This window comes from Homo sapiens, chromosome 7 (assembly GCF_000001405.40).
Source record: "Homo sapiens chromosome 7, GRCh38.p14 Primary Assembly".
Taxonomy (NCBI): Eukaryota; Metazoa; Chordata; class Mammalia; order Primates; family Hominidae; genus Homo; species Homo sapiens.
In genome coordinates this window covers 103,745,277-103,765,202 of record NC_000007.14, presented here as the reverse complement: position 1 = coordinate 103,765,202, position 19,926 = coordinate 103,745,277, and the positions used below count along the sequence as shown (strand labels likewise).

At 37.3% G+C, this 19,926-nt stretch overlaps 1 protein-coding gene across 2 annotated transcripts in view; it reads left to right on the top strand.

Annotated features, from left to right (window-relative positions):
• RELN (reelin) overlaps positions 1-19,926 on the top strand; it is a 517,870-nt gene that overhangs the window by 224,456 nt on the left and 273,488 nt on the right. For both annotated transcript variants that reach the window (NM_173054.3, NM_005045.4), the window contains exons 5-6: positions 11,989-12,021; positions 15,699-15,777. In NM_173054.3, coding sequence (NP_774959.1) covers positions 11,989-12,021; positions 15,699-15,777 — 112 coding nt within the window. The remainder of the gene's footprint in view (positions 1-11,988; positions 12,022-15,698; positions 15,778-19,926) is intronic.

Here is a 19,926-nt window from a genome sequence, read left to right as displayed (position 1 = left end):
AGTGGCCACCTCCTCCTCTGTGCTTAAATATGCTGAAGCCACTGCTACTTTAACAAGTATTTCATCCTGAACTTCGGGTACCCCCGGCCATGTTTCCTTCTTACAGTCCAGCTTCTTGAAAGAGCAGTGTGTGTCGCCAGGCTTTCGTCCTAACCCTGCCATCTGGCCTCTACCGCCAGCACTCCCTGGAAACCATCATCCTCAAGGTCACCAATAACCCACTAGGGTGCCAACTAATCCAGAGGACTCGGATCCTCACCCTACCTGACTTCTCTTTTCTTTCTCGGTTTCCCTAATGAGTTGTTCTTCCCACATCACACATTCTAGGGTTGGGCTTCTTTTTGCACTTTTTTTTTTTTTTTTTTTTTGAGAGGAGTCTCACTCTTGTCACCAGGCTGGAGTGCAGTGGTGCGATCTCGGCTTACTGCAAACTCCGCCTCCCAGGTTCAAGCAATTCTCCTACCTCAGCCTCCCGAGTAGTTGGGACTACAGGCATGCACCACCATGCCCAGCTAATTTTTGTATTTTTAGTAGAGATGGGGTTTCACCATGTTGGCCAGGATGGTCTCAATCTCTTGATCTCATGATCCACTCGCCTCAGCCTCCCAAAGTGCTGGGATTCCAGGCATGAGCCACCATGCCTGGCCTTCTTTTTGTGCTTTTATATTGTCCCTGTTGAACTCACTCACACCTATAATTTTCATCTCCCTAGCTCTCCACTTCCTTGGTGCTTATACAAAGAGTCAAGAAGGTAAAATGATTGTGAGCATGAAGTTTGCAGTTACCTATACTCTGAGTTAGAATTTCTGCTCTGGCACTTTCTAGCCATGAAATCTTTGAGTCTCAATTCTCTCATCTGTAAAATAGGGAAAGGGATAGTATCAACCTTTTTGGCCACTGCATACCATTCCCAAGAGCCTGGTACAATATTTTGTGCCCAGAAGGAACATCATAAGGTTGTGAGGATTAAATGTCGTGATGAAGTGCATAGCATAGTGGCTAGCACATACTCCGTAGATGTTAGCTCTCACTACTATTACTAAACACTACATTTGGGTGTCATTTAGGCACCTTGAACTCAATATATTCTAAACTGAACTTTAGTCCGTCCCAAATCTGTACCCCTCTATTGCAGTTCTGGTTAGCATCTTCATCATCACCCCAGTCACTAAACAGAGACCTAGGTAACACATTTCTTTGCTTATTCCTTGTGGTCATCCATGTCTATATCCAGTGTGTCTAAGGCCAATTTACACAATGTCTCTTAAACCAACCCCTTTCTTTCCATGCCCACTGCCATTTTTTTTTATTCAGGCCTTTCACACATTGATCAAAATGCTCCTGGCCTCAAACCCTATAACTGCCCTCTGTTTCCCCCCAGTTCAGCCTGGATTTCAGGACTTCCCTGATCTGTCCCACCTCTCTCTCTCTCCAACGTCATCTCCACATTTAGATCTTTCCACACCCATCACCCTCACCTGACACCAGACTCTTTATTTCAGCTGGAATAAGTATGTCCTTCATCAGAGATGCCATCCTGACCCTATCACTGTAGCTCATATATGCCAACTCCTTTCCCTGGTGTACTTTCCTCCATACCTCCTCTGCTGTCTAACTGATGAAGTTGCGCTCATCCTTAAAGATCCAGTTCAAGTGTCTCCTCCTATATCATCTTTATTTTTATCACTCTCCCACCTTATATTTGCTAACTGAATTTAGTTTACCATATTGTATGTAATGCATTGACTTCTAAATGTATTTTATACTACACTTTGGATCCCTTGATCCAGAAGAGACTGGATCATTTTTACATTCCCAGAACTTGGCACAGTACCTGACACTTAGCAGGCACTCAAATATTAGTTTAGGAAATGAATGAACCATATAAAGCAAGGACACTTTTCCAAAAATGCCGAATTACTCTTATTTCTTTAATTGCCAGCCAGTCTGTACCTCCCATGTCCCCAGAAGTGCTTTTATATCTGTATTTAGGCATTGTGCACTCTTTTTTCATTGATGAACTTTACTAGGAGTAGCCTAACAAAACTCAGAGTTGGTTACATGGTATTTGAGATGATGTTTGCTTTATTGCTCACTGTCCTGTATGAGAAACTACAGAAGAAACTTCTATACAGTCTGTGTACCTGCAATAACTGTCCTTCTCCTGAATAATATGTGTTCTTTTAAAGTTATGAACTCTTCTATTTCTGTAACTTTATGGCTTGAGAACCAAATTGAAGTCCTGGGGGCATGCATCTTGCATACATATCTCAAAATGGCATGTATTATTTTTCTACCCTCGTTTGTCATCTTTGATTCCCCCCTTTATTATCTTGTTCAGCTGTCTGCCTTTTTTTGTAAGCTGCCTTAAATCTATCTTAGAGCAAGACAGATTATACAATTCATCCTTAGGTATGTAAAGGAAAGTGAAAAGAAATATGAAGAAAAGTGAAGGAAGAAGATGACATATGTACAAGCAATAAGGAAGAAAAGGAACAGAGGAGATGATTAGAATTTTCTAACAACAATGGTTTTAGTAATATTGGCTTGCTGATGTTATCAGAATCCATTCAGCTAGCATTTTTGGAACTGCCATGTGTGAGACATTGTGCTCAGCATTGGGAATGCAGAGATATTCAAGATAGAGTCTCTCTACTCACAGGAATTTGCAGTTGGATCAGCTCTAATTGCTACTGTGGCCTTTAAGATTATGACTGAGATAAAGAGAAGAAACTTTTCCCCAAAAGGGACCCTTTCCTCACCCATGGGAAATTAACTATTGTAGTTAGAGTGTCAATTAAGCTTCTATGTACTTGAGGTACTAAGCAAAGTACTTCAACATGTGGGTGGGTTAAATGACTAGAAGTTTATTTCTTAGTCATAAACCAGTTTGAAGATAGATGGTCTAGGGCTGGCAGGGTCGTTCTACTGTGCACAGCAAGTAGCTTCCAAATCTAGGCGCCAAGCTGGCTGCTCCAGCACTCACCACCTCCTACAGCAGGGAGGGGAAAGGGCCAAGGAAGCATGCCCATTCCTTTAGGACATCACCCAGCCCTGAAAGTGACCCTAGTCACTTCTGCTCACCTCATATGGGCAGAACTTAATTCCTTTGTCACAGGAAGCTATAGGGGGGCGCTGAGAAATAAAGAAATAAAGAAAAGAAGAATAGACATTGGAAAATCTCTAGCAATTTCTGTTGATGTTAGCAACAAGGTTTCTTCCTTCTCCTCCACTTCTTCCTCTTCCTTCTTCCTCTTTTGAGCCTAGTGATTTTCCTTCCAACCTCTAAATGTTACTTAAAAGCCATATGTTCTCAGGTTTTGGGTCAATTTATACCTGCAATTTCTCACATCTGCTCCATCTATGAACTTCATCTCTTCAAGTTCTCAAAGGTCTAGGATTTTTAAAAGTTGCTACACAGTAACAATTTTTTAAAAATTAAAATTTGGCCAGGCATGGTGGCTCACGCCTGTAATCCCAGCACTTTGGGAGGCTGAGGCGGGTGGATTGCTTGAGCCCAGGAGTTCAAGACCAGCCTGGGCAATGTGGTAAGATCTTGTCTCTACCCCCCCCCAAAAAAAAATTTACTGGTCTTGGTGCTGTATGCCTGTAGTCCCAGCTTCTTGGGAGGCTGAGGCAGGAGGATCATTTAAGCCTAGGAGGTTGAGATTGCAGTGAGCCAAGATGCACCACTGCACTCTAGCATGGCCAAGAGAGCGAGACACTCTCTCAAAATATAAATAAATATAAAAATAAAAATGTACCAACAATTCAAATGATATTGTTTTGCATTCTGATTTTTCACTTAAAACTTGTATTTATATTGTAAGCAAATTTTTGAAAAATGTGTGGATATCTCCCCAGAAAAGATGGTGACATGAGCATGGTAAGACAATGAGCCATAATTTTTAATGTTTGAGGCCCCATTATTTATAGCTCCTATTGGAATAAATCTTATCTGAAAGAGTTCTCTATCTCCTAGTTGCAGGTTATAAAGATATATTTTCATTTTGTTCCTATTTCGTTTATATTAGAATATGAAAGATGATAAATTGTTTTGAGACATAAATCAAGTTGAGGTGGAAAATCAGAGAGGGAAGAGAAAAATAATTCCTAATATTGCTGGTTCTGTGTATAATTTAGCTGTCTTTAAATATTAAGAAATCTTTTATACTGAGCATAAGTATGTTCTTGAACACAGGGAGAACTGTTTTCACTCTAAATTTATAACATTTTTGGAAGCTTAATTATCATACTTGAAGGTCAAATGGTGCTTTATTGCAATAAAATACAAAAAGTAATAAATTATTCCTGGGGAGATGAAAGTCTAGGTTCATAGCTCATTAAATGCTAACTTCAGAGCCCATGTCTAATTTGTCATATTTAGCTTTGGAAGTTTAATACATTTGAATTTCAAATTAGGTGAAGAGATACCTGAGGCAAAACTACCTAGGGCCTTTGAATTCCAAAATGATTCAGGAGATATAGTCCCTGTAACATAATACCTGTATTTGTAAGAATTGCTTGCCACCTACATATAATTCTTGTCTGACTCAAAGGCTTTTTTTTTTAAGTAATCAATAATATTAGCTCAAAGCTCATTTACCACCTCCTGAATTCATTTTCAGGCATCTTTTCCTTTTTCTGCTCCACATATTTAAGTCTCCATTCTTTGCACTGAGTAATTTGTTCAACAAGTTGGCTGAAGTGTATTAGTGCTGCTATATTTTGGAGTCAGATGATTACTTTAAAATTTCCATCCAAAATAAGTCAGTTGAAAGAAAAAAACACATATGTCAAGAAAATAACCTTTGGGGGAATTAAACACGACCTCATTCTTTCTAATATGCCTACTTCAGGCTGCTGTGATCTATGAGATTCTGGCAGGCTCAACTTTTGAAAGAGCATATGCACAGAAATGCTTTTTAAGAAATGAAGCTTTTTTTTTTAACTTTTAGCATGTGATTTGTCTCCTGGACAAACTGAATTGATGATGGGAGGAATTTAGGCTTCAATTTAATATTGAGATACTATCTAAGGATCCATGTTTATAATATTTATTTTGAAAGGCCCAATAGTTTAACCTATTAAAATGTTATTAAGAAAAGCATTCGTGTATGACAGGCATTCAGTGAATATTAATTGAATGCAGTAATTCAAATAAAGAAATGCTAAGATGTAAAAAAAAAAAAAAAAAAAAAAAAAAAAAAAAGTATGACTGTGAGCACCAATGACCGAATGTAGTCACAGAAGCTAATGTGGAGATATTTGCTGCCTATTTTAGTTTGCAGAAATGTTCTAACTTTCATTTCTGCCTGCAAAGCTCAGCTGGTGCTAATGCAAGAGAAACTGTCGTAAGGATAAACCACTCATTATAATCTGTGAGATGCTGTAAATAATTGGAGGTAATTTTGGAGACAAAAGTATATTTAGTAAATTAAAGGTAATGTTCACAAAGTAAGTCTGTCTAATGACAAGCAATACATTAGTTGCACTTTAAAGTTTAAAAAGTGAGTAAAAAGTGGTTCTTCTCATACCGCGATGAAGGCCATATTAATTCACACTGAGTGAAAATAGTGACTTTTTAAAAATAATTTTTCACCTTTCCCAAAGATATTTCTTGGGAAAAAAGCTGCAACTCTTCTGACTAGAACTATCACCAACACAGAGACATGTTAACATATACGAGCTAAGAGCTTTCCATCATTTATTCAAAAAAGCATCAGTATGCACTTTTTCTGCTTTCATTTTAAGCAAATAAATAATAACCTTGTTTAAAGAGACCAAGAAGCATGTTATTCCTTTGAAACTTTTGATACTGAATTTACTTGCTTTCGTGTTAGGCTCAATCAAGCCTTGTGATATGAATTGCTTATCTTATGAACTGGGTCTTTTCATGACTGTTCCACGTAATCATTCACCCTCACTATTTTTTGAATAATTATCTTTATCAAATCTGCATTAGTACAGAGATCTTGTGTTCATTCAAGGCAGTTCCAGTCTCTTTCTTTTGCTAGCTTATGGTGATTAGTAAATCATTTCAAGAATAGTACAGTTGAATTTTTTAAAAAAGAAGTTCTATAAGCAATCTATTTTTTTCAAACTTTAAAGTACCTTCTAAAAACAGTGATTGTTTACTTTTATTCTTAACATGTTTAAGCTTATTAATTTTAGAAATCTATTTCTGTCCTCTTTGCGTAGTCTGTGAAATCTTAGTAAAATACATATGTAATCTTCAGGTCACTTAATAATACTCAAGCATCTAGGAAAATGCCCGGCTAAGGAAAGACTTAGAATGTTGCTGAAGCATTTCATTGCTGATCTAAATCTTTGTATTTTGCCAAAACATCATCTGGATAGGCCCCACTGGAGAGAGAATTTGGAGGACAAATAACTTTTAAGTGGCACTATCACAAACATGAAAAAGAATCTGGAAAAGAAATCATAAGTACACATTTATGAGTGGTTTTGACACTCATAACATTTATTTACTTATCTAGTATGAAAAGATTATATTATGCTGAAAACTTTAAAATTTCATTTTTTTCTCATTTAACTGCTCTGCTCTCAAGAGGGATTTGACTTATGAAATTAAGTAGATTCTCATTTATCAATACTTTCCTAGTAAAAATTGCTACCAATTTGTATTGATAGTTTTAAAGAAATTTGGCTTTTTCAACTAAAAACAAGTCAAAGTAGGCTAGGCTTTCATTCTGAATGCCTAGCTGGAAAAAAGCTTTTAAAAACCCTGGTGATTTTAGAGAGATTCTACCTTAATTCCTCCATTCTGTTGGCTTGCTTTTACTTGTTTTTTAGGCAAAGTAGAACCTTTATTTTAACTTACCTGTGTAACATTTTATATTTTATCTGTGGTCTTAATTAAGTTAATTCAGTCTGAGGACATTTGGCATACTCTTTAAGTTACCATGATATACCTAAGGTCAATTTCCAATTCAGTCCAGTTACTTGAACTTGATCAAGCTTTACAAAGGATATAGTTTCTGTAATGTTTGTGAATTTCAATGGCATTATTTCTGGATAAAGATTACAGAGATGTATGGTTATTCTGAATGAGATTTAAAGTTCATCGAAACACAAATACATTCACATGCACTTTCTAACAGGGAACTCTTAACAGAATTGGATATTCCTAGATTCATCCTATCCGAACATTCATTCCTAGTTGAACATCCTACCTTACAGAAAAAATATTCACTTCTGAAAAAATGTAGAAATTCAGTTTGATTTATACAAACACTTGATTCCTTATTAAATCATTTATCTTTCCATAAGTTACTTCCAGCCTCTATGTACAGTTTCATGGGTCTCACCAATGAAACTAAATTAGGACCATATTATGAAGGTTCCCCACAGTGATCTCTCTGGGTACAGAACAACTCCAGCCTATCTTCCTCTCTCTTCAATTCAGTATCCTCTGACAAGTAGCAGGGTTCCCATCCCTAGTGCATCTCCCTCTGTGCACACCTTTGGTCATCTGACCTGATCTTCTTATCACTACCACAGAAATACCTGGAAGAAACTACGATATCTTTTTACACTTCTGTTAAAGGTGTATTCCATCCCATTCTTTCTCCAAAACCAAAACCCACTTCTTTAAGAACATTTCTGTTTTTTCTCATTCTCAGAAACCAAAACTCCCTAGTTTAAGCCATTTGACAATTTTATGTCGTTGCTAGGTTTTAATCGTGCAATTTTAAATTCAAAAGAGTTGAGAAACTGGGCAAGATGCAAGGTGGGGTGGGGCATTCTAGGATCCTGGGAGAGACAGAAAATCAGTAACAGACCAATAAAATGTTGAGATAAAAACATACGAGCAATCTAGAAAAATTCAATGATTCAATCTAGAGCTAGTTCAATGGCAGAGGAACAGGAAAGGTAGACTTGGAGATATGTCATTGGGTAAGCACTTGGACAGTTGACAAATGAGGACCAGTCTAGCAAGCATGCATTTTACATTTAATACAGGAAAGAGTAAAGGCCTTTATACCAAGTTCATATAATATAAGAACTTAATAATTCACTCATAGTCACTAGTATGAGGCAAGGCAGGTAGTATCCAAATGGGAGTATACTAAATAATGTTGAACTATATCATTCTTCCTCAGGCTACTTTAATTTTTCCGTGGTGCATTTACCTCAGTAAATGTGGAAAAGATGGTGAACTTCCTACGGGCTTAGAAAATTTGTTTAGACTACATAAAACTAGATTGATATGGTCATTTATCGAGAAATGATTAAAATAAGCTTCTAGGCCCGGTACTTTACTAGGCTTTGGCCCATTTTTATGCCACATATGCGTGAATCTTTTTCAGGAAAATTTGTACTTTTCCTTGCATTAAGTTTTGCATACTAAATGTTTCTCTTTTGAGGAAATAATGTTTAGTTATCTCAGATAGTGGACATTTTTGTTAAAATATATTAAACCTTCCTAACTAGTGATTTAAAATACGATGTAAATTTGTTGAGTTAAATTAAATCCAGGTAAATACTGACTTGGTGTTGAAGCTCCCCAGACCACTTATAATAAAGGACTTTTGGACAATGTTATGTGTCTATTCTGGCATTTTTTAAAGGTTTGGATCTTCAATTATTTTCTGAAATATCATAAAATATATTACAACTAAGGAGTAGCTTTCAAATCAATTTATTATTTATTGAGACACTATTACCAGCTTTGGCTTATGTCTTGGGTGGACATATTTTCTGCTTTTGAGGAGCCTATTTCTTCTTCAGAGCAAAGATGAGTACTTAACACAGAGAACAGTTCAGCATGCTATAAAAATAAGCAGTGGATTGTGTAGTTTAAACCAGTGAATTTTAAATCTGGCTTTCTATCAGAATCGGTCAAGGAGGTTTTAAAAAATACAACTTCCGGGCCTCCACCCTCAGAGATTCTGACTCAGTGGGTCTTTCTAAAATGGCCCTCTCCTGCTGATTGTGATGTATATGTTTCAGTGAAAGCTTCCATGTGTCCAGATAATTTAGCAAAGGTAGATGTCCATTTCAATAAACAATTTAAAGTAAAGCATTTTATAACTCATTCCCTTTATTGAGTTGAGGCCTTAGTCACCAAAGTCATTTAATGTAAAGTAGGCAACAATATTTCTGCAGATATTTTGTTATACATATCTAATTATTGTATTGCATAGTAAATATTTCTAATTAATAATTGTCATAACTTTTCCTACATTTAATTTAACCAGTTTATTTCACAACCTGTGAAATAATTTGAAAAGTTCCATACTGTGTAGACAGGGTTTTTCTTTTCTTTTTAACACTTTATAACATGAATACAGAGAATCCCTTTTGCAATATAGCTAACGTTAGGCATGGTAAACTATCATGATATCTTTTTTTTTTTTTTTTCTTGAGGTGGAGTCTCACTCTGTCCCCCAGACTGGAGTGCGGTTGTGCGATCAGCTCACTGCAAGTCCGCTTCCCAAGTTCACGCCATTCTCCTGCCTCAGCCTCCTGAGTAGCTGGGACTACAGGCACCCGCCACCACACCTGGCTAATTTTTTTATGTTATTTAATTATTTTATTTTATTTATTTTATTTTTTTTATTTTTTTTTTGAGACAGAGTCTCGCTCTGTCCCCCAGGCTGGAGTGCGGTGGCGCGATCTTAGCTCACTGCAAGCTCCGCCTCCTGGGTTCACGCCATTCTCCTGCCTCAGCCTCCTGAGCAGCTGGGACTACAGGCGACCGCCACCACGCCCGGCTAATTTTTTGTATTTTTAGTAGAGATGGGGTTTCACCGTGTTAGCCAGGATTGTCTCGATCTCCTGACCTCGTGATCGGCCCGTCTCGGCCTCCCAAAGTGCTGGGATTACAGGCGTGAGCCACTGCGCCTGGCCATTTTTTTATTTTTTTATTTTTAGTGGATACGGAGTTTCACTGTGTTAGCCAGGATGGTCTCGATCTCCTGACCTCGTGATCCGCCCTCGTGATCCGCCCACCTCAGCCTCCCAAAGTGCCGGGATTACAGGCATGAGCCACCGGGCCCGGCCACTATCATAATATCTTAAGAAACAAAACAAACAACAAAAAAATCCCTTCGGTCCTCATCTCCATATAAGATCTCATTTCTCACCTTTGCAGCTAACCTTCTTGAAAGAGCAGTCTGCACAGCTGTTGAGTCTAGACTCTGAGGCCAAAATCCCTGAGTTCATCTATAGACACTCCTTAGCACAGTGCCTTAATAGCAGGATGTTCTTCGTAGATATCAGCTTTATTAGGATTATTTTGGCCTCTCCTTCAACTCTCTTAGCTCTTAAAACTCTTTTTCTTATTTCCTTAATGGAATGCACTTTAACTCAGTCACCTTTGCTAGCTTGTCTTCTTCCACCTGTCCGTTAAATATATATTTGACTGTGCATTTCACTTCTTTCTTTTTATTATTTATTTAGAGACAGGGTCTGACTCTCTTGCTCAGGCTGGAGTGTGATGTTGCATTTCTAGCTCACTGCATCCTCAAACTCCTGGCCTCAGGTGATCCTCCTGCCTCAGCCTCCTGAGTAGCTAGGACTACAGGCGTGCACCACCATGCCCAGCTAATTTTTAATGTTTTTTTTAGAGACGAGGTCTCCTACTATATTGCTCAGGCTGGTCTCAAACTCTTGGCCTCAAGTAATCCTCTTGCCTCAGTCTCCCAAAGTGCTGGGATTACAGGCATGAGCTACTTCTCTCAGCCTCACTTTATACCTTACATTCTCTCTGAGTGACTCGGTCTTCCTTTTGTAACTCCACCACCTCCTGCTTGATAACGATTTCCTAATTGATATACAGTACAAATGTCCCTCCTAGCTGTAGTTCAGCACTAATAGAAGTATAATGTAAGCCCCGTGTGCAATTTTAAATATTCTAGTAGTCACATCTATAAAATGGAAAGAAATAGATGAAATTAATTTAATAGTGTATTTTATTAACACAGAATATGTAAAATATTAAACATTTGGATATAATGTGGTCAATTTAAAACTATTAATGAGATATTTTACATTTTGTGTACTAAATCTCCAAAATCTAGTATGTACTTTACACTTATAGCACATCTTAAGAAATATTTGGCCTGTATTAAGAGTTCATAAAATTGACAATTGAAATGTAGATCCACATACCCAGTGTTTCTTACCTGCTTAAAGATCTTCCAGTAACTGAATTGAGTATCAAAAATCATTTTCCTTTAATGTCCAGATCCACCTTGACAAAATGTTTTCATTTTTATTAGAAGAGCTGATTTACCTTTAATGCAAAAACATATCAGTTTCAAAACTATGTCCAAGTATTATTCTTGTGTCAGCATAGTATTATTAACATGGAATTCACAGAAATATTGCATACATTGAAAAGCAAGTCTAAAATAATTAACATCAAGACATTCTTCAAATTTTTCTTGTAGGTTTTTGCAGACAATTTAGAAGATACTGGAAATTACAGTTAAAATCTTCTGGAGACACAATTCACGTTAGGAAATTCATGTGTAAAACCATTATTAATTTGTATTTTCAAAGTTTCAATTTCAACATAAATTTTCCTACTTTTCCAGCTAGTTTGCAAATAAACCCTTGTTTTCCTTGAAGCTTCAGATTTGGCTTGTTCATATGCACTGTGATACTGGTGAGAGAATGTATATCATTGTGCCAGGTTTTTGTTATTCATTATTGGATAATTGGCAAGTATTCCTTTTGTTTCAAGAAAATCTTTAATTAGAGCTAACAATTCAGTGAATCTTTGCAAAACTCTTCTCTGATTTAACCAATAAGTGTTGGCACAAAATACAAGATCATTAAATTTATTGTCTTCTATTTTTTCAAGGGTTCCAGAAACTCCTAAAAAGACTAAAAAGTCTGTAGCCATTTGATTTGCTTAATGTGACTTAAGTTTTATAACTGTGTTGTGACTCTTTATTACTGGATTTTGCTTTCATTCCTGATCAGTTGTCTTTCTTCTTTCCTCTCTTGATTCAGCTCCAACAGATGTCACTGTGCACCCACATCTAGGTAAGTGTTTAAGACTCTGATGTCATTAACTTTAGTACTTGATCTACTTGTTTGGCTTTTCTGGCTATACGAGCAGATGTTATAGAGGCAAGGAAGCTGTCCTCTCTGATCATTGATCAGTCACTGAAATTGGACTTGGGTACGGATTATACTTGAACACAGAACCTCCTTGAGGAAACATTCATGCTGCCCAGCGGGGGGCTCATGCAGGAACTTTCACACCTGTTAGTACCCTCAGCCCTGAGATCCTATTGAGTGTAAGCTTTTGCATTCTAATGCTTAATTTTCCCCAGAGTCCCTCATAATACTAGATGCCCATCATAAATATTAGAGCATGGAGCTAGTGGGCAAGAAGCCATGAATGTGGAAGAACTGAAGTCATTTAAGATTTGGGATTTATGCTCAAATTAGTACTGAATTGTTAAGAAAAAGAAATTATTTTGTCATTTCTTTAAAAATTGAACTGAAGCTGGGCATGGTGGCTCATGCCTGTAACCCCAACAGTTTAGGAGGCTGAGGTGGGAAGATCACTTGAGACCAGGTGTTTAAGACCAGCCTGGGCAGCAGAGCAAGACCCCCATCTCTACCAAAAAAAAATGTTAAAAATTAGTCAGTGTGGTGGTTGTGCACCTGGAGTCCTAGTTACTTTGGGGGCTGAGATGGGAGGATCATGTAAACCAGGATTTCAAGGCTGCAGCAAGCTATGATTGTGACACTGTCCTCCAACCTGGGCAGCAGAGCAAGATCCTGTTTCTTTAAAAAAAAATTGAAATGAGACTGTTTAAATAAATACCTGCTTCTTAAAATGGCACCATGGATTTTTCATAATGTCATGCTCTTAGTGGCCCACAGTTCTTGAGGCAGGGTATATAGTGGTTAGGATCACAGATTCTGGGAAACTGCCTGGGTTTATCTCACTTTTACCACTTGCTAGCCACACAATATTGAGCAAGTTACTTAACCTCTCTGTGCCTCAGTTTTCTCATCTGCAAAGTAGAATTAATAATAGTATCTATCTCATAGGGTTGGTATAAGGAATAAATGATTTTGTTTTCATAAAGTGTATGGTAAATAATATAGTGGTGTTTGGAAGTAAATCAATACACAAACAGGTATCCAATGAGGCTTACCCATTGCCTTTGTAAATAAAAAAGTCTCTAGAAAACAAGTGATCTTTAAGCGTTAATTTTCTCATTTGTGTCAGTGAAGATTTATTTTAAAAGCAATTTCCTACACTATAGTATTTAATAAGAATGAAAAGAAATCATCCTAGCTGGTTGCAGCCTTTTCAAATGTCTTTCACTATGGGACTTTCTAGATAGGTCAGTTATTTGTCTCTTGGGCTTTTCCTTTCAACCTATAAACCCAATTAATTTATTTTTCCTCTTTGGAAAATCTGCCTTGAGAAGCTCTACTTTTATGTAATGCTACAGCTTGGGGCTCCTCTTATTTGGCAGACAAATGCAAGCGCTTAGAAGCATGCCTTCTGGCAGCCAAGACAGGCTGGTGACCCGCAGTGGCCCAGCCAAGTCTCGGCCAGATTGGGTATCTGAGAGAGCTGTACCCTGTAGGCATCTGAGGCACTGCATCTCATCGCTCAGAGGAATCATTAAATCACTCCCATGCACAGAATACATCACAGCGTTCTCTCCAGTGTATATCCATATTCTCCCTGTTCTCATGCCTGAGGCTTCGCGTCTGAGCATCCAGTCCTCTCAGTACATGCTGATTCACTGGTTTCCATGACTTCATTACGTGCTTGCCTGCTGGCCTACCTGGTATAAAGGAGGCAAGGACTGCCATGGCTGGGGATGTCACCAAAGAGAATGTGAAATTATGCTTCCTGATATTGGGAAGTAATTTTAATTACCCAGTGATTTCAGAGAATTATATTTGAGTGAGCCTAAAAAACATAAAAATATCACCTTTAAAAGAAAAAGTTATGAGAGTTTTTTGTTAATCAGATATTATTTTAATTTTTCCAAAAGACAGTCTGTTAGCTAGTTCAAACAAAATTGTCAAGACCCAAAGAAGTTAGAGTAGCTGGAACAAACTTCCTAAGCAAACCATGAATCAGATGAGAGCATTGTTAAAGTACTAAATTAATTTTTACAACATGAATAGAAATAATTATCATTTCTCACACAACCTTTAAAATAAGCACACTTACACCGTAGCCAGCCATGAAAGTGAGTTTACTTATTCATCATCTATTCAGCAGAAATATGAACTCTACAGTTGGTGAAAATATTGCACTTGACATGCCCAAAGTTCTTCTAGAACTTAAAAATAGGTATTCAATATACCTCAAATGTGTAGTGATAATATATTTAAAACCATGTATGGCTCCCTGGCATTCCTCCTGACTTCTAAATTGATTTTATTTAGGAATTTTACTTATATAGATAAATTCTCTTATGCAGTTCTGAAAGAGAAAAAAAGTTCACAAATTTAAAAACATTCAGTAAAAGATGAGTGAATATAGGGAAGGAGAGAAAGCAAGCCAGGGCAAGAAGGATAGTGGGAAAGAGAAGAAAAAATGGGTTAGTAGATTACAGCAATTTTAGCTGAGAATAAATAGCCAGAATGTTCTATCCAATTCCATGCTTTAAAGTGAATTAGACACTGACGCTGTCTGGGCAGTCTCTTGGAAGCCATGGATGAGTATATGTTGAAATATGGATATATTAGTTCATTCTCACGCTGCTAATAAAGACATACCCAAGACTGGGTTATTTTTAAAAGAAAGAGGTTTAATTGACCCACAATTCAGCATAGCTGGGAAGGCCTTAGGAAACTTACAATTGTGGCAGAAGGGGAAGCAAACACGTCCTTCTTCACATGGTGGCAGCAAGAAGTGCCGAGCAAAAGAGGGAAATGCCCCTTATAAAACCATCAAATCTCAGCTGGGCACAGTGGCTCACGCCTGTAACCCCAGCACTTTGGGAGATCGAGGCAGGTGGATCACCTGAGGTCAGGAGTTCAAGACCAGCCTGGCCAACATGGCGGAACCCCGTCTACTAAAAATATAAAAATTAGCCAGTCATGGTAGTAGGCACCTGTAATCCCAGCTACTCAGGAGGCTGAAAGAGGAGAATTGCTTGAACCCAGGAGACTAAGGTTGCAGTGAGCCAAGATCATGCCGCTGCACTGCAGCGTGGGCAACAGAGCGAGACTCTGTCTCAAAAAATAAAAAAAAACCATCAAATCTCATGAGAACTCACTGTCATGAGAACAGCATGAGAGTAACTTGCCCCCATGATTCAATTACCTCCCACCGTCCCTTCCACGATATATGGGGATTATGGGAACTACAATTCAAGATGGAATTTGGGTAGGGACACAGCCAAGACATACTGAAGGAAGACAAGTCCCGAATAGCCTCTCCTTGTAGGTTGGTGCTGATTTTGGCCTTCCTGCCTTGCCTGCCTAGTGATAGCTTCATAGATTTCCTTTTGGGGTCTTTGGTTTTCCCAACTTCTAGGTGTTTAAACCGCAGAGCTTTTTACCCTTGTCCCTTAGTAGTTTGAGGGACAAAGCAAATATAATCAACTGCTCATTTAAAATTTAGTTTTAGGATACATTATTCTTCATAAATACAGCATGTTGGCACTTGTGTTTAGCTAAATGTACTGTTGTAGTATATTTCTTTCCTAAATACTTCCTTTTTCTTTTAGCTGAAATACATAGTGACAGCATTATCCTGAGAGATGACTTTGACTCCTACCACCAACTGCAATTAAATCCAAATATATGGTAAGTTACAGGAACATTCCTCACTTTGGTTTGCTTAATGTAACAAATGATGCTGACTGCTCCTTTAAGGAGCAGTTACTTAAAATTAAGTTGATCTTTAGTGCTAAGCTATCAGTGAGACTTGTTAAGCTATGGAACTGGGCTTAATGTAGACTGCATATAATGTCTATTACTTGACTTCTTTAAGAACTGAATCCAGGTTCTCCTCAAAGCCATGAGTGTGGTTAGATTTTTTTTTTCAGTTTTGCAATATCCTTACATAGAAAATATTATGCTATTATATGTCTAATAATTTCATTTATGCCAAGCAAAGAAGGGAAATGGTTTATCTGAAATGACAAATGATTTGAGTCATACTTCCAAATAATTTCTAAATTATTAGGTCAACTCATTATGTATACTCCAGTCTTTCCTTCAAAAGCTGTTTAAGTGTAACTCTGTGGGATTTTTGAGGGGAAATAAATAATGAGCCAAAATTCACTCATTAAAAGCTTGTCTAATACATAAATGGATGCATGAATTTGTTGGCAATCTGTTGCATTTTTGCTGACTTTGAAGAAATAGGTCTATCGACCCAGAGTTACAATGAAAATCAATTTGCATAATTTGGAACAATATCTGAATTTGGATTTTCTATTATACTAAATGTTTTTTGTTTGGACAGAAGAGTTCAAGATAAATTAGCAACTCTAATGTAAACTAAGTTCAAGTAATGTAATACTCAAGACTAAAAAGAAAATAATCATTTCATCCTTGAATGTCAGCATATGATATTCATTTCTGTTTTATTTTCACTTTTTAACAAATATTTAGCAATAATCATTTTATTTTTATAGTAAATTAAAAAGAGGTATGGTTCTCTCAAGTAACGAATGGTTTAGTAGAGAAGACACTAAGACCACATCTTTAAAAAGCTTGTGATACAGGATAGAAGTCCTTAAATGTGTTCCGAAGAGGAGTTCCAAAGAAAGGAGAGATGACTCTGGTGGGAGTTTGTTCGAGAAAGTTGCCCTTGACCTAAGAGTTGAAGATGACATATAGAGTGTTGAGGCTTCAATATTACACAAGAAACTTTTATTTCTTTTCTAGAAAGAAATATACATCTAGATAGTATAAATATAGAAAAAAATATTATCAGGCTAGCCAGAAAGTCTAGTCATAAAGTCTTATACTTTATATGCCATTTAAAGAAACAGTTTATCAATAGAACTCTGCTTCCCTAAATATACATTTTCTTAAAATAAATTGAAAATATTTATTAATAAGAAGCCAAAAAAAAAAAAAAACCTTTCTAAGTAGCACTTTTACCCAGGAAAAGTTTTTTCCTTCAGACATTTTGCTTTTTTATATGCCATTAATATAGATGTTATCATATGATTTGTTTCTTTCAGGGCAAATTCATTTCTGTGAAGCTAATTCATTTTCTTCAGTGAGTTTTCTTGACAAATACAAAATGTGACTGTTCGGTGGTGCAAATTCTGTTGTTGTTTAAATCAATAAAATGTGATTGATTTTTCTTCGCCCATTTTCATGACTGATCTGATAGATGCTTTCTTGACCAAAGTTATGGATTTTATGTCTCTTTTACTTAAGCTGTGGTTTTTCCTACCTTTTTTTAAAAAAGTTTTTTCCTAATTTTTAAAACAGTCCTTTTTTGTCTTTAAAAGCCGAGTCCTTCTGCCTTTTATCAAATATGCTTTGGAGTAATTTTACTTTATCCCTTATTGCCCACAGTCTCCTTCATTTAGCCTCTTTAAGATTCCAAAAAAAAAAAAAAAAAAAAGTGAGAGTAGGGAACGGTGAAACTGTCATTATTTGAGAGATGACTGTTCTGTTAAACAAAAGGTGGCAGAGGCCCTGATATCAGACTACCCTGGTTTGACTCTTCACCAAGCCACTTGCCAAATGGATACCATGAGAAAAGCAAAAAGCTGCTTCACCTCTATGAGCTCTATTTCTGTGCGGTAAAAGTAGGCAAATACCGTTCTTTTTATTTTTTTAATTTTATTATTATTATACTTTAAGTTTTAGGGTACATGTGCACAACGTGCAGGTTTGTTACACATATATATATGTGCCATATTAGTGTGCTGCACCCGTTAAGTTGTCATTTAGCATTAGATATATCTCCTAATGCTATCCCACTCCCCTCCCCGCACCCCACAACAGGTCCCAGTGTGTGATGTTCCCCTTCCTGTGGCCATGTGTTCTCATTGTTTAATTACTACCTGTGAGTGAGAACATGCGGTGTTTGGTTTTTTGTCCTTGCGATAGTTTGCTGAGAATGATGGTTTCCAGTTTCATCCATGTCCCTACAAAGGACATGAACTCATCATTTTTTGTGGCTGCATAGTATTCCATGGTGTATATGTGACACATTTTCTTAATCCATCTATCATTGTTGGACATTTAGGTTGGTTCCAAGTCTTTGCTATTGTGAATAGTGCTGCTATAAACATACGTGTGCATGTGTCTTTGTAGCAGCATGATTTGTAGTCCTTTGGGTATATACCCAGTAATGGGATGGCTGGGTCAAATGGTATTTCTAGTTCTAGATCCCTGAGGAATCGCCACACTGACTTCCACAATGGTTGAACTAGTTTACAGTCCCACCAACAGTGTAAAAGTGTTCCTATTTCTCCACATCCTCTCCAGCACCTGTTGTTTCCTGACTTTTTAATGATCGCCATTCTAACTGGTGTGAGATGGTATCTCATTGTGGTTTTGATTTGCATTTCTCTGATGGCCACTGATGATGAGCATTTTTTCATGTATCTGTTGGCTGCATAAATGTCTTCTTTTGAGAAGTGTCTGTTCATATCCTTCGCCCACTTTTTGATGGGGTTGTTTGTTTTTTTCTTGTAAAATTGAGTTCATTGTAGCTTCTGGATATTAGCCCTTTGTCAGATGAGTAGGTTGCAAAAATTTTCTCCCATTCTGTAGGTTGCCTGTTCACTCTGATAGTAGTTTCTTTTGCTGTGCAGAAGCTCTTTAGTTTAATTAGATCCCATTTGTCAATTTTGACTTTTGTTGCCATTGCTTTTGGTGTTTTAGACATGAAGTCCTTGCCCATACCTATGTCCTGAATGGTATTGCCTAGGTTTTCTTCTAGGGTTTTTATGGTTTTAGGTCTAACATTTAAGTCTTTAATCCATCTTGAATTAATTTTTGCATAAGATGTAAGGAAGGGATCCAGTTTCAGCTTTCTGTGTATGGCTAGCCAGTTTTCCCAGCACCATTTATTAAATAGGGAATTCTTTCCCCATTGCTTGTTTTTGTCAGGTTTGTCAAAGATCAGATAGTTGTAGATATGCAGCATTATTTCTGAGGGCTCTGTTCTGTTCCATTGGTCTATATCTCTGTTTTGGTACCAGTACCATGCTGTTTTGGTTACTGTAGCCTTGTAGTATAGTTTGAAGTCAGGTAGCGTGATGCCTCCAGCTTTGTTCTTTTGGCTTAGGATTGACTTGGCAATGTGAGCTCTTTTTTGGTTCCATATGAACTTTAAAGTAGTGTTTTCCAGTTCTGTGAAGAAAGTCATTGGTAGCTTCATTGGGTTGGCATTGAATCTATAAATTACCTTGGGCAGTATGGCCATTTTCACGATATTGATTCTTTCTACCCATGAGCATGGAATGTTCTTCCATTTGTTTGTATCCTCTTTTATTTCCTTGAGCAGTGGTTTGTAGTTCTCCTTGAAGAGGTCCTTCACATCCCTTTTAAGTTGGATTCCTAGGTATTTTATTCTCTTTGAAGCAATTGTGAATGGGAGTTCACTCATGATTTGGCTCTCTGTTTGTCTGTTATTGGTGCATAAGAATGCTTGTGATTTTTGCACATTGATTTTGTATCCTGAGACTTTGCTGAAGTTGCTTATCAGCTTGAGGAGATTTTGGGCTGAGACGATGGGGTTTTATAGATATACAATCATGTCGTCTGCAAACAGGGACAATTTGACTTCCTCTTTTCCTAATTGAATACCCTTTATTTCCTTCTCCTGCCTAATTGCCCTGGCCAGAACTTCCAACACCATGTTGAATAGGAGTGGTGAGAGAGGGCTTCCCTGTCTTGTGCCCGTTTTCAAAGAGAATGCTTCCAGTTTTTGCCCATTCAGTATGATATTGGCTGTGGGTTTGTCATAGATAGCTC